Genomic DNA, 14,956 nt, shown 5'->3' with positions numbered 1-14,956 from the left:
GATTTATCTAAGAGCTGAAAAATATGTAGGCAGAAAAAAATATGGGAATGTTTACCTATCAAAATAATAGATTACTTTTTTTCCATGTATTCAGAAGAGATGAGTGACTTTGAGTCTCATTAGATTGACAACTTCTTTTGCAACATTTCATGGTGAACTATTGTGTTTCTCTTTAAAGACTGAAAAAATGTTTCCAAATCTTCAGGAACAGAAAACTAAATATGACATAGATTGTTTTCCATGCTGCTACCAACAAACATTTCATGCTTTGTGCTCCCCTAAAGTCATGCCCAATCATGTTTTAGACAGGTTTCTGGGAAAACCACACTAAAGCCTAGCTCTATTACCAGATACTGTAGTCCCTAAGGAGAGGCCAGTGGCAGGACACTACATATTGCATTATTTGTGTAAGGCTGAAATATATATTATAAAACATCTGGGTAGACTTTTGAAAAAGTCATGGTCATCATTTTCCAAAGCCTCCAAAGACAAGATGTCAGCCATGATGATTAAAATTCTATTTAAATCATAAATGTTTGTTGGATTTTTAAAATACTTTTAATTCATAGTGTGGCACATTCTAAGGGAATTTTAAAATCTTTCTATATACAAGGTGATGTGGTTTGGCCATGTCCTCACCCTAATCTCATTTTGAACTCCCACCTGCTGTGGGAGTGACCCAGGGCAAGTTTTTTTCCATGCTGTTATCATGATAGTTAGTAAGCCTCACCAGATTTGATGGTTTTATAAACAGGAGTTTGCCAGCACAAGCTCTCTCTCTTTGCCTGCTGACATCCATGTAGGATGTGACTTGCTCCTCCTTGCCTTCCACTGTGATTGTGAGGCCTCCCCAAGCATGTGGAACTGTGAGTCCAATTAAAACTTTTTCTTTTGTAAATTGCCCAGTCTCGAGTATGTCTTTATCAGCAGCATAAAAACAAACTAATACAGTAAATTGATACCAGTGGAGTGGGGCACTGCTGAAAAGATACCCAAAAATCTGAAAGTGATTTTGGAACTGGGTAACAGGCAGAGGTTGGAACAGTTTGGAGGGCTCAGAGGAAGATAGGAAAATTTGGGAAAGTTTGGAACTCCCTAGAGACTTGTTGAATGGTTTTGACCAAAATGCTGAAAATGATATGGACAAAGAATTTCAGGCTAAGGTGGTCTGAGAGAGAGATGAGGAACTTATTGGGAACTGGAGCAAAGGTGACTCTTGTTATGTTTTAGCAAAGAGACTTGAGGCATTTTGCCCCTGCCCTAGAGATTTGTGGAACTTTGAACTTGAGAGAGATGATTTAGGGTATCTGGCAGAAGAAATTTCTAAGCAGCAAAGCATTCAAGAGGTGACTTGGGTGCTGTTAAAGGCATATTTATTTATTTATTTATTTATTTATGTATTTATTTGAGACGGAGTCTCACTCTGTTGCCCAGGCTGGAGTGCAGTGGCACAATCTCGGCTCACTGCAAGCTCCACCTCCCGGTTTTATGCCATTCTCCTGCCTCTGCCTCCCAAGTAGCTGGGACTACAGGCGCCCACCACCATGCCTGGTTAATTTTTTTTGTATTTTTAGTAGAGACGAGGTTTCCCCGTGTTAGCCAGGATGATCTCGATCTCCTGACCTCGTGATCTGCCCGCCTCGGCCTCCCAAAGTGCTGGGATTACAGGCGTGAGCCACCATAAGCCACCGCGCCCCGACGGCATTCAGTTTTAAAAGGAACACAGAGCACAGAAGTTTGGAAAATTTGCAGCCTCACAATACAATAGAAAAGAAAATCCCATTTTCTGAGGAGAAATTCAAGCTGGCTGCAGAAACTTGCATAAGTAACGAGGAGCCCAATGTTAATCCCCAAGACAATGGGGAAAATGTCTTCACGGCAGGTCAGAGGTCTTCACAGCAGACCCTCCCATCACACGCCCAGAGGCCTAGGAAGAAAAATGGTTTCGTGGGCCCAGTCCAAGGTCCCTGTGCTGGGACTTGGTGTTCTGCATCCCAGCCTCTCCAGCCTTGACTAAAAGGGGCTGAGGTACAGCTCAGGACATGGCTTCAGAGGATGGAAGCCCCAAGCATTGGTAGCTTCCACATGGTGTTGAGCCTCAGAGTGCACAGAAGTCAAGAACTGAGATTTGGGAACCTCCACCTAAATTTCAGGAGATGTATGGAAATGCCTAGATGCTCAGGCAGGAAATTTGCTCTAGGGACAGGGTCCTCATGGAGAACCCCTGCTAGGGCAGTGCAGGAGAGAAATGTGGGGTGGTGCTCCCACACAGAGTCCCTACTGGGGCACCACCTAGCGAAGCTGTGAGAAGACCACTGTCAGGCCTCTGAGCCCAAGCCAAGCCATCGCATCCCCTGTGACTTGCATGTATACGCCCAGATGGCCTGAAGTAACTGAAGAATCACAAAAGAAGTGAAAAGGCCCTGCCCCGCCTTAACTGATGACATTCCGCCATTGTGATTTGTTCCTGCCCCACCTTAACTGAGTGATTAACCCTGTGAATTTCCTTCTCCTGGCTCAGAAGCTCCCCCACTGAGCACCTTGTGATCCCTGCCCCTGCCCACCAGAGAACAAACCCCCTTTGACTGTAATTTTCCATTACCTTCCCAAATCCTGTAAAACAGCCCCACCCCTATCTCCCTTTGCTGACTCTCTTTTCGGACTCAGCCCACCTGCACCCAGGTGAAATAAACAGCCATGTTGCTCACACAAAGCCTGTTTGGTGGTCTCTTCACACGGACGCACATGAAAACCACTGTCCTCCAGATCCCAGAACGGTAGATCCACTGACAGCTTGCACCGTGCTCCTGGAAAAGCCTGAGACACTCAACATGAGCCCACGAAGGCAGCCGGGAGGGAGGCTGTACCCTGCAAAGCCACAGGGGTGGAGCTGCCCAAGACTGTGGGAACCCACCTCTTGCATCAGCTTGAACTGAATATGAGAGGTGGAGTCAAAGGAGATCATTTTGGAGCTTTAAGATTGACTGCCTCACTGGATTTCGGACTTGCATAAGGCCTATAGCCCCTTTGTTTTGGCCAATTTCTCCTGTTTGGAATGACTATATTTACCCAATGCCTGTAGTGTCTAGGAAGTAACTAACTTGCTTTTGATTTTACAGGCTCATAGGCAGAAGGGACTTGCCTTCTCTCAGATGAGACTTTGGACTGTATACTTTTGAGTTAATGCTGAAATAAGTTAAGGCTTTTGGGGGACTGTTGGGAAGGCAAGATTGGTTTTGAAATGTGAGGCCATGAGATTTGGGAGGGTCCAGGAGAAGAATGTTATGGTTTGGCTGTGTCTCCACCCTAATCTCATTCTTGAATTCCCCTCTTGTGTTGTGGGAGGGACCCAATGGGAGGTAATTGAATCATGGGGGCGTGCATGTCTTTTCTCTGCTGTCCTCACTATAGTGAATAAGTCTCACGAGATCTGATGGTTTTATAAAGAGGAGTTCCCCTGCACAAGCTCTCTCTTTGCCTGCCGCCATTTGCATAGGATGTGACTTGCTCTTCCTTGCCTTCCACCATGATTGTGAGGCCTCCTCAGCCACATGGAACTGTAAGTCCAATTAAACGTCTTTCTTTTGTAAATTGCTTAGTCTCAGTCTCAGGTAATTTCATGCGCGTCCGTGTGAAAAGACCACCAAACAGGCTTTGTGTGAGCAACATGGCTGTTTATTTCACCTGGGTGCAGGCGGGCTGAGTCCGAAAAGAGAGTCAGCGAAGGGAGATAGGGGTGGGGCCGTTTTATAGGATTTGGGTAGGTAAAGGAAAATTACAGTCAAAGGGGGTTTGTTCTCTAGCGGGCAGGAGTGGGGGTCACAAGGTGCTCAGTGGGGGTGTTTTTTGAGCCAGGATGAGCCAGGAAAAGGACTTTCACAAGGTAACGTCATCACTTAAGGCAAGGACTGGCCATTTACACTTCTTTTGTGGTGGAATGTCATCAGTTAAGGTGGGGCAGGGCATATTCACTTCTTTTGTGATTCTTCAGTTACTTCAGGCCATCTGGGCGTATAGGTGCAAGTCACAGGGGATGCGATGGCTTGGCTTGGGCTCAGAGGCCTGACATTCCTGCCTTCTTATATTAATAAGAAAAATAAAACAAAATAGTGTTGAAGTGTTGGGTCAGCGAAAATTTTTGGGGGGTGATATGGAGAGAGAATGGGCGATGTTTCTCAGGGCTGCTTCAAGCGGGATTGGGGTGGCGTGGGAACCTAGAGTGGGAGAGATTAAGCTGAAGGGAGATCTTGTGGTAAGGGGCGATGTTGTGGGGATGTTAGAAGAAACATTTGTCGTATAGAATGATTGGTGATGGCCTGGATACGGTTTTGGATGAATTGAGAAACTAAATGGAATAACAGAAGGAGAAAAACAGGTATAAAAGGTCTAAGAATTGGGATGACTCAGGATATCTGATTAGAGAGTGCCTAAGGAGATTCAGCATAGTCCTGCCAGCAAAGATTATTTATTTACTTCAAGAGTTAACAGTGGCAGTTTGGGGATAGCACCAGGAGATATCAGCTGTGATGGCTTGGAAAAACAGTGTAAACCGGCAGTGTAAACAAGAGCAGGGCATGTATGAGTAGTTGAGAACGGTGAATAGGAGTATGACTAGACAGAAGATAGTAGGGAAGACAAGTTTTTTTGGGGCACAGTCTAAGTTGGTCTGGTGTCTGGAATGAGACTGGGACCTAATAAAAAGGAGCGTCTATACAGGAGCTTAAATGGGCTGTACCCTGTAGCATTCCGAGGACAGGCCTGAATTCTGAGAAGGGAAAGTGGTAAAAGTATTGTCCAGTCCTTTTTAAGTTGGCGGCTGAGCTTGGTAAGGTGTGTTTTTAAAAGACCTTTAGTCCACTCTACTTTTCTTGAAGATGGAGGACCATAAGGGATATAAAGGTTTCACTGAATACTAAGAGCCTGAAAAACTGCTTGGCTGATTTGACTAATAAAGGCTCATCTGTTATCAGACTGTATTGAGGTGGGAAGGCTAAACTGAGGAATTATGTCTAACAGAACGGAAGAAATGACTGCGGTGGCCTTCTCAGACCCTGTAGGAAAGGCCTGTACCTATCCAGTGAAAGTGTCTACCTAGACTAAGAGGTATTTTAGTTATCTGACTCAGGGCATGTTGAGTAAAGCTAATTTGCCAGTCCTGGGTGGGGCAAATCCTCGAGCTTGATGTGTAGGGAAGGGAGGGGCCTGAATAATCCCTGAGGAGTAGTAGAATAGCAGAATGGAACACCGAGAAGTTATTTCCTTGAGGATAGATTTCCACGATGGAAAGGAAATGAGAGGTTCTAAGAGGCGGGCTAGTGGCTTGTACTATAGCATAACCTGCCTTTGCTGGTGAGTGGCGATTAGGCCTGGTGGAACTGCCATCAATAAATCAAGCGTGATGAGGTTGAGGAACAGGAAAGAAGGAAATTTGGGGAAATGGGGTGAATGTCAGGTGGATCAGAGAGATACAGTCATGGGGGTCAGGTGTGGTATCAGGAATAATGTGGGAGGCTGGATTGAAGTCCCGGTCAGGAACAATGGTAATTGTGGGACTTAAAGAGTGAGTACAGCTGAAGGAGCCGGGGAGCAGAAAGTATATGCATCAGGTGTGAGGAAGAAAATAGATTTTGGAAGTTATGAGAACTGTAGAGAGTGAGTTGAGCACAGTTTGTGATTTTGAGGGCCTCTAAAAGTATTAAAGCAGTGGCAGCCGCTGCACGCAGACATGAGGGCTAGGCTAAAACAGTAAGGTCAAGTTGTTTGGACAGAAAGGCTACAGGGTGTGGTGCTGGCTCTTGTGTAAGAGTTCTGACCACACTAACCATGTTTAGGAAGGAAAGGAGTTGTTGTTTTGTAGAAGGTGCTTGGGTTTGAGAGATCAGTCAGACACGATTGGCAGGGAGAGCACGTGTGTTTTTATGAGAATTATGCCAAGATAGGTAACAGATGAGGAAGAAATTTGGGCTTGATTGAAGTAATGGGGGCTGTCTGTGAAGCTTTGTGGCAGTACAGCCTAGGTAATTTGCTGAGCTTGATGGGTGTCAGGGTCAGTCCAAGTGAAAGCGAAGAGAGGCTGGGATTAAGGGTGCAAAGGAATAGTAAAGAAAGCATGTTTGAGATCCAGAACAGAATAATGGGTAGTAGAGGCAGGTATTGAGGATAGGAGAGTATGTGGGTTTGGCACCATGCGGTGGATAGGCAAAACAATTTGGTTGATAAGGCGCAGATCCTGAACTAAATTGTAAGGCTTGTCTGGTTTTAGGACAGGTAAAATGGGGGAATTGTAAGGAGAGTTTATAGGTTTTAAAAGGCCATGCTGTAGCAGGCGAGTGATAACAGGCTTTAATCTTTTTAAAGCATGCTGCGGGATGGGATATTGGCATTGAGTGGGGTAAGGGTGATTAGGTTTTAATGAGATTGTAAGGGGTGCATGATCGGTCGCCAAGGAGGGAGTAGAGGTATCTTATACTTGTGGGTTAAGGTGGGGGGATACAAGAGGAGGACGCAAAGGAGGCTTTGGATTGGGAAGAAGGGCGGCAATGAGACACAGGTGTAGTCCAGGAATAGTCAGGGAAGCAGATAATTTAGTTAAAGTGTCTCAGCCTAATAAGGGAACTGGGCAGGTGGGGATAACTAAAAAGGAGTGCTTAAAAGAGTATTGTCTAAGTTAGCACCAGAGTTGGGGAGTTTTAAGAGGTTTAGAAGCCTGGCCATCAATACCCACAACAGTTATGGAGGCAAGGGAAACAGGCCCTTGAAAAGAAGGTAATGTGGAGTGGGTAGCCTCCGTATTGATTAAGAAGGGGACGGGCTTACCTTCCACTGTGAGAGTTACCCGAAGCTCGGCGTCTATGATGGTCTGGGGGCTTCCAAGGCAATCGGGCAGTGTCAGTCTTCAGCCGCTAAGCCGAGAAGACCTGGGAAGGAGTCAGAGAGCCTTGGGCCAGAGTTCCAGGGGCTCTGGGAGTGGCTGCCAGGTGAGTTGAACAGTCCAATTTTCAGTGGGGTCACACACAGATGGGACGCGGCTTAGGAGGAATCCCAGGCTGCGGGCATTCCTTGGCCCAGTGGCCAGATTTCCGGCACGTGTAGCAAGCTCCTAGGGGAGGAGGTTCTGGAGGAATGCCTGGCCACTGCGGTTCAGGAGTTTGGAAGTTCTTGTGTGCTGGAGATGTGGCTGGGGTTTGTCTCACAGTGGAGGCAAGGAATTGCAACTTTTTTCTGTTATTGTACACCTTGAAGGTGAGGTTAATTAAATCCTGTTGTGGGGTTTGAGGGCCGGAATTTAATTTTTGGAGTTTTATTTAATGTCGGGAGCAGATTGGGTAATAAAATGTATTCTGAGAATAAGACGGCCTTTTGACCTTTTAGGGTCTAGGGCTGTAAAGTGTCTCAGGGTTGCTGCCAAACAAGTCATGAACTGGGCTGGATTTTTATATTTGATGAAAAATAACCTAAACGCTTCTGATTTGGGATAAAGAAAAAGGAGCATTAACCTTGACTATGCCTTTAGCTCCAGCCACCTTTTTAAGAGGAAATTGCTGGGCAGGAGGGGGAGGGCTAGTCATGGAATGAAACTGTAAGCCTGACCAGGTGTGAGGAGGGGAGGTGATAAAAGGATTGTAGGGTGGAGGAGCAGAGGCTGAGGAAGAATTGGGACCTAGCTCGGCCTGGGGAGGAGCAGCCTGGGGAGGAAGGGAGAGGTCAGATGGGTCTGTAGAAAAGGAAGATTAGAAAGACTCAGGGACACTTGGGGTTGGTACTGAGGGGACAGGCGGGAGGGAAAGGAGGAAGATTTGGGACGAGTTGCACTGGGCACAGAGACTAGGAAGGGATTGATGTGTAAAAGAATGCCTGGACGTCAGGCACCTAAGACCGTTTGCCTATTTTACAACAAGAATTATTTAGATCTTGCAGGATGGAAAAATTCAAAGTGCCATTTTCTGGCTATTTGGAACTGCTGTCGAGTTTGTATTGGGGTCAAGCGGCATTGCAGAAGAAAATAAGGCATTTAGGTTTTAAGTCAGGTGTGAGTTGAAGAGGTTTTAAGTTTTTGAGAACACAGGCCAAGGGAGTAGAAGGAGGAATGGAGGGTGGAAGGTTCCCATAGTGAAGGAAGCAAGCCTAGAGAAAAGAGAGAGTAGAGAAATGGAGGGAAGTGGTTCGGGGGTTCTTACCTTCCAGAAAAGTGGGAAAAGGGGTTGGGGCACAGAGATAAGAGGTCGGGGCATGGAAATAAGGGATGGGGTGCAGAAATAAGAGGTCGGGGCTCAGAAATAAGAGGTCGGGGCTCAGAAATAAGGGATTGGGGCGCAGAGATATGACGTTGGGGCGTGGAATTAAGGGATTGGGGTGCAGAGATATAAGAGGTTGGGGTGCGGAAATAAGGGATTGGGGTGCAGAGATATGAGGTTGGGGTACTTGCCCCTCTAGAAAAGTGGGACTTGCTGCTAAGAGTGAAGGAGAAGGGGTTGAGGGGTACTTGCCCCTCTCCCAGAAAAGCAGAGAAGGGGTAGAGACAAGTAGAGAAGGGGTTGGGGTACTTGCCCTGTCCCCGGAAAAGCAGAGAAGGGGTAGAGACAAGGAGAGAAGGGCTTGGGGTACTTGCTCTGTCCCTGGAAAAGCAGAGAAGGGGTAGAGACAAGGAGAGAAGGGCTTGGGGTACTTGCCCTGTCCCCGAAAAAGCAGAGAAGGGGTAGAGACAAAGAGAGATGGGGTTGGGGTACTTGCCCCTTCCCCAGAAAAGCAGGACTTGCTGCTAAGGGTGAAGGACCAAGGCAGGCGTCCCTGCGTGGTCTGAAACCCTTGAAACGTGGGTGTATAATCAGAGAGGCGTCCCTGCATTGATTAAACACCAAGGGAAGGCTGCCTTCCCAGTCCGTGACCGGAGCCAGAGTTTTGGGTCCACGGATAAAATGTGTCTCCTTTGTCTCTAACAGAAAATGAAAGGAATTGAAATTTAGAGAAGGGAGAGATTGAAGTGTGGCGCCAAGATTGAAAGGAGAAAGAGGTTGAGGGATAGTGAGGGAGGTTGGAGAAGAGAGTAAAAAGAGGCCGCTTACTGGATTTGAAATTGGTGAGATGTTTCTTGGGCTGGTTGGTCTGAGGACCTGAGGTCATAGGTGGATCTTTCTCACGGAGCAAAGAGCGGGAGGGCGGGGGATTGATCTCCCAAGGGAGGTCCCCCGATCTGAGTCAAGGCACCAAATTTCATGCGCGTCCGTGTGAAGAGACCACCAAACAGGCTTTGTGTGAGCAACATGGCTGTTTATTTCACCTGGGTGCAGGAGGGCTGAGTCTGAAAAGAGAGTCAGTGAAGGGAGATAGGGGTGGGGCCGTTTTATAGGATTTGGGTAGGTAAAGGAAAATTACAGTCAAAGGGGGTTTGTTCTCTGGCGGGCAGGAGTGGGGGTCGCAAGGTGCTCAGTGGGGGTGTTTTTTGAGCCAGGATGAGCTAGGAAAAGGACTTTCACAAGGTAATGTCATCACTTAAGGCAAGGACTGGCCATTTACACTTCTTTTGTGGTGGAATGTCATCAGTTAAGGTGGGGCAGGGCATATTCACTTCTTTTGTGATTCTTCAGTTACTTCAGGCCATCTGGGCGTATAGGTGCAAGTCATAGGGGATGCGATGGCTTGGCTTGGGCTCAGAGGCCTGACAGGTATGTCTTTATCAGCAGAGTGGAAATGAACTAATATACAAAGTAACACAGGTTTACATTTTCTACTTTGTATGATTATTCAGGTTACTGTCTCTTTCCTCCCATGTGAATTGCTTTAACTTCTCTCTCTTTGTCAAGGTTCTTTTTGATGCAAGAAACAAAAACATAATTTGGCTAGCTTAATCTTTTCAAGCAATTGATTGAAAGGTCACTAGGTAACTCACAGAATCAAATGTAAAGCTGAACACTTGAAATGGTTTGGCTCTGTGTCCCCACTCAAATCTCATCTCAAATTATAATCCCCACGTGTCAGGGGAGGGGGCTTGTGAGAAATCATTGAATCATGGGGGTGAACTTCCCCATTGTTGGTCTCTTGATAGTGAGTGAGTTCTCATAAGATCTGGTTGTTTCAAAGTGTGCGGCACTTCCTCCTTAGTGAACTCACTCTCTCCTACTCCATCATGGTAAAGAAGTGCTTGCTTCCTCTTCCTTTTCTGCCATGACTAAGTTTCCTGAGGCCTTCCAACCATGCTTCCTGTTAAGCCTGTGGAACTGTGAGTCAATCAAACCTTTTTTATTTGTAAATTACCCAGTCTCAGGTAGTTGTTTATAACAGTGTGAAAATGGACTAATACAACACCTAAATACCTGGGAAGAGAAAACTAATCACACGTTGAAATATATCTGTAACAAGTACTAATGCACAATCTCTTTATAGCATTGGGACATCTGCTGTGTGTCATTATGTTAAGAATTAATTGTAGGAATTGTTTTAGTTTAGGTCTTGAACTCACCATAGTTGGGAGATGGAGGAAGGGAATTATTATAGGAGTCTCACTAGCACAATATAGAATGTAGGAGTGGAAGATTCCCAAATGACAACTGAGGTGCTGTTAGAAAAAAGGAGACAAAGGAAAACAATGCTCATAAACATCGTTTTGATTTTGTTTGGTTTTTGTTTTTTTGCTACTCAAATGTCCATTAGTCATAAAGTGAATAAAGTCTGATATATGCACACAATGGAACATTATACAGCAAGGAGACTATGCCTTCTATAAATGCACACAAATATGGCTGAATCTCAGAAACATAATATTGAACAAAAGAAGCCAGACAAAACAGAACATTCTATATGATTTTAATTATTTAAATTTCAAAAATAGGTGAAACTGATAATGTTAAAAGGCAAGATTTTGGTAACTCTTGAGGAAAGAGTAGGAGTGACTGAAAAAACACATAAGAGATTCTGGACATATTGGTTATACTCTGTTTCTTTATCTGAATGCTCATTTCAAGGACTGTGTTTTTTTGGTGAAAATACGTTGAGCTACAAAGTTATCCACAAAATTTGGTGTAGACATTTCCTGAAGCAAAAGGAAAATTCAATAATACTGATCCTGTCTTAAAATTTTTGATAGCTGGGCACAGTGGCTCACACCTGTAATCCCAGCACTTTGGGACCCTGAGGTATGAGGATTGCTTGAGCGCAGGAGATTAAGACCAGCCTGGGTAACCTAGTGAGATGCCATCCCTACAAAAAATTAAAAAAATAAGCCAGGCATGGTGGTGCACACCTCTACTTCTAGATACCTGACAGGCTGAGGTGGGAGGATCACTAGCGCTTGGGAAGCAGAGGTTGCAGTCAGCCGACATTGTGCCATTGCACTCCAGCCTGGGTGACAGAGTGAAACCCTGTCTGAAACAAACAAACAAACCAATTTTGATACTGTGTTAATCATAGACTTTGATCCATTAGACAAACCTGACAAAAACAAGAAATGGGGAAAGGATTCCCTATTTAATAAATGGTGTATATGTACCACATTTTCTTAATCCAGTCTATCATTGATGGACATTGGTGCTGGGAAAACTGGCTAGCCATATGTAGAAAGCTGAAACTGGGTCCCTTCCTTAAACCATATATAAAAATTAACTCAAGATAGATTAAAGACTTAAATATAAGACCTAACACCATAAAACCCCTAGAAGAAAACCTAGGCATTACCATTCAGGACATAGGCACGGGCAAAGACTTCATGACTAAAATACCAAAAGCAATGGCAACAAAAGCCAAAATTGACAAATGGGATCTAATTAAACTAAAGAGCTTCTGCACAGCAAAAGAAACTATTATCAGAGTGAACAGGCAACCTACAGAATGGGAGAAAATTTTTGCAATCTACCCATCTGACAAAGGGCTAATATTCAGAATCTACAAAGAACTTAAACTTATAAGAAAAAAACATACATCAAAAAGTGGGCAAAGGATATGAACAGACACTTCTCAAAAGCAGACATTTATGCAGCCAACAGACATATGAAAAAATGCTCATCATCACTGGTCATCAGAGAAATGCAAATCAAAACCACAAGGAGATACCATCTCACACCAGTTAGAATGGTGATCATTAAAAAGTCAGGAAACAACAGGTGCTGGAGAGGATGTGGAGAAATAGGAACACTTTTACACTGTTGGTGGGACTGTAAACTAGTTCACCCATTGTGAAGACAGTGTGGCGATTCCTCAAGGATCTAGAACTACAAATACCATTTGACCCAGTGATCCCATGACTGGGTATATACCCAAAGGATTATAAATGATGCTACTATAAAGACACATGCACAAGTATGTTTATTGCAGCAATAATTACAATAGCAAAGACTTGGAACCAACCCAAATGTCCATCAATGATAGACTGGATTAAGAAAATGTGGCACATATATACCATGGAATGCTATGCAGCCATAAAAAATGATGAGTTCATGTCCTTTGCAGGGACATGGATGAAGCTGGAAACCATCATTCTCAGCAAACTATCACAAGGACAGAAAACCAAACACCACACGTTCTCTCTCATAAGTGGGAGTTGAACAATGAGAACACATGGACACAGGATGGGAAACATCACACACCGGGGCCTGTTGGGGGTGGGAGGCTGGGGGAGGGATAGCATTAGAAGAAATACCTAATGTAAATGATGAGTTGATGGGTGCAGCAAACCAACATGGCACGTGTATACCTATGTAACAAACCTGCACGTTGTGCACATGTACCCTAGAACTTAAAGTATAATTTAAAAAAAGAAAAGAACGTATTGCATTAAAATGTTGTTTGTTTTGAATGCTGGATATTTGGTGTCCCTTAAATTTTGTGTTCAAGGGAAGTCTCTCACTTGCTTTTTATCTTAGACCAGGCCCTATGCTCACCACAGAGAGAATAAAGGCCAAAGGATGCTATAAGACTGAGTCAAAGTCACAGAGATAATTACCTCTAGTGTAAAGTATTTTTTTGATCAGTTATGGATCTTTCCATGCCTACATTCTGCTTTTATATGAATATATACCCTGAAATGAGTCTCATGACCTTCCATATTTTCCATTATTCAGCCAAGTTATAGCTTGCATTTCCAAGAGAAAAAAAAAAAATCAAAACCCCGAACAAACACACAAAAAACAAATGCCTTCTTCCTCAAGACTCATGCATGTCAAAGTAAAAAATTGTTTTTTTCTCTAAATGCCAGCAAATTAAGGAAGTTCAGTTATAATAAGGTCCAAGATCAGAATAGCTTTTTAAAAAATATGGACTCTACTATTCAATTTACTCAAAGAAATTTACATTTTAAAATCATCAACGATTTCAAGATTAATTACCTTCCTTTAGGGAGATAACAATAGGCAATTATAGCCTAAAGTGACAAAACAATGAATTTATTATTTTTCATTTATTGCTTAGTATGTGTGGTTTTTGCTTTTTTACCTTTTCTGTAACAATAAGATGTACTTAATGTAATTGGGTTCTTTTCTTTGACAGTTTAAAGATCTATTGAGTACTTTTGTCACTCCTTTTGCCTTGGTTTTTGCTTTTGGATTGCCTATTTCTGATTAACAGAAGGTTGAAAGTCTCTGGCTTGGAAGTCAATCAGAATGCCACTGTTTAATAATGGTACACTGAACGGTTGACACATTGCCGGGCTAACATCTTTTCGACAAAATGATTACATCTACTGCACATCAATCACTTGACGTAACCAAAATAAAGCCAGCTTAATAGAACAATATCTCATGATAAATACCTTCCCTTGAAACTTCCCATCTTTGCCTTCATACTTATATATTGATAAATGATGTTCCTGCACCTTGATCTTTTTTTCCTCCAAGCAGAAGCCCCATTGTCCTGTGACAGCCTCCTGTTGAATTCACTGCAACACCTAGATGTTTAAGGCAGTTTTCAAACAAAGTCTTCTCTGTCTCTGTATGTTAACCAGTTAATCAATAAACACGAAGAGATAGCCCAAAGTTTAGAAAGGTAGCTGTTTTCCCTCATCCAATGGAACAAGTAAGACACCTGTTTTTCTACTTTCTGTGGTCTTTATACTCACCAGCAAAATCATGAGCTAATATCAGAATCCCTGTCATTCTTGGCAAGTTTCACAGGTCCCAGTTGAGTGTGAACTCAGTCTGAGCTTCCACCTTCAGTGGTTTGTTCCCTTATGGAGTGAGACAAGCAATATTTATTTCTTGAACACTTATAGTAAGGCAATCAAAAGCAACTGTTGGAAATGCACAAGACAGTCTTAATAATGGAGACAGAATTTTTTGATTGCTATAGTGCTTCTTTGTAAGTCAGTTTTTGCTATCCTCTAAATGAGTTAAGACATTTTCTTATATAAATTCTATATCACTCAGCTCTTGCTGTAAAAAAATGTCACCCCCAAAATCTGTAGCTTTGAAAAATAAGTATTCATTATTGCTCCTGAGTCCACAGGTCCTCAGGGTTGATTTGGTCTGGCTCAGTGTTGCTTCAACACTGGCAGGAACTGACTGCTCTAGTATGGCTTCACTTGTGTGCCTGGAGATGGGATGGCAGTCAGCTTGGACAATGAGTTGACTGGGCTACTTATGTCCCGTCTTCCCACAGATAAGCTTCAGCTTATTTACATGGCAATGGCATAGTTCCAACGCACTCTAAGAAAGCACAAACCACAGCATTGCATCTGACGCATTCTGTTGGCCAGAATAAATCACAAAGACAGTATAAATACAAGCGATGGTGAAACAACATGCTACCTCTTGATGGGAGGAGATTCAAAATTGCACTCCATGGGGTCTGAATATAGGAAAAGGAAAAAAAAGGACCAATTTTGTAATCAACCTATGGTAAAACCAATAGGGCCCAAATAGCCATGTAATAAGAAATGTATTTGCATAAATTTTAAAAAGTATTACCCATCTTAAAATTTACTTTATTTTGGACAACGAGTTCAATATAATTATTTCTTGTATACATTGTTATA

The 14,956-nt window shown here is 43.5% G+C and overlaps 3 annotated features.

Moving 5' to 3' along the window:
- Positions 3,590 to 4,306: an enhancer, noted in NCBI's record as "OCT4-NANOG-H3K27ac hESC enhancer chr16:60117794-60118510 (GRCh37/hg19 assembly coordinates)". NCBI's record gives its function as "activates a minimal SCP1, AML or CMV promoter by ChIP-STARR-seq in naive H9 embryonic stem cells {active_cell/tissue: H9 hESC(naive)}" and the evidence as "EXISTENCE:reporter gene assay evidence [ECO:0000049][PMID:30033119]".
- Positions 6,966 to 7,467: an enhancer, noted in NCBI's record as "H3K4me1 hESC enhancer chr16:60114633-60115134 (GRCh37/hg19 assembly coordinates)". NCBI's record gives its function as "activates a minimal SCP1, AML or CMV promoter by ChIP-STARR-seq in primed H9 embryonic stem cells {active_cell/tissue: H9 hESC(primed)}" and the evidence as "EXISTENCE:reporter gene assay evidence [ECO:0000049][PMID:30033119]".
- Positions 9,035 to 9,938: an enhancer, noted in NCBI's record as "OCT4-NANOG-H3K27ac hESC enhancer chr16:60112162-60113065 (GRCh37/hg19 assembly coordinates)". NCBI's record gives its function as "activates a minimal SCP1, AML or CMV promoter by ChIP-STARR-seq in naive H9 embryonic stem cells {active_cell/tissue: H9 hESC(naive)}" and the evidence as "EXISTENCE:reporter gene assay evidence [ECO:0000049][PMID:30033119]".

Source organism: Homo sapiens, chromosome 16, assembly GCF_000001405.40.
Source record: "Homo sapiens chromosome 16, GRCh38.p14 Primary Assembly".
NCBI lineage: Eukaryota > Metazoa > Chordata > Mammalia > Primates > Hominidae > Homo > Homo sapiens.
This window is presented reverse-complemented; position numbering and strand designations above follow the sequence as displayed.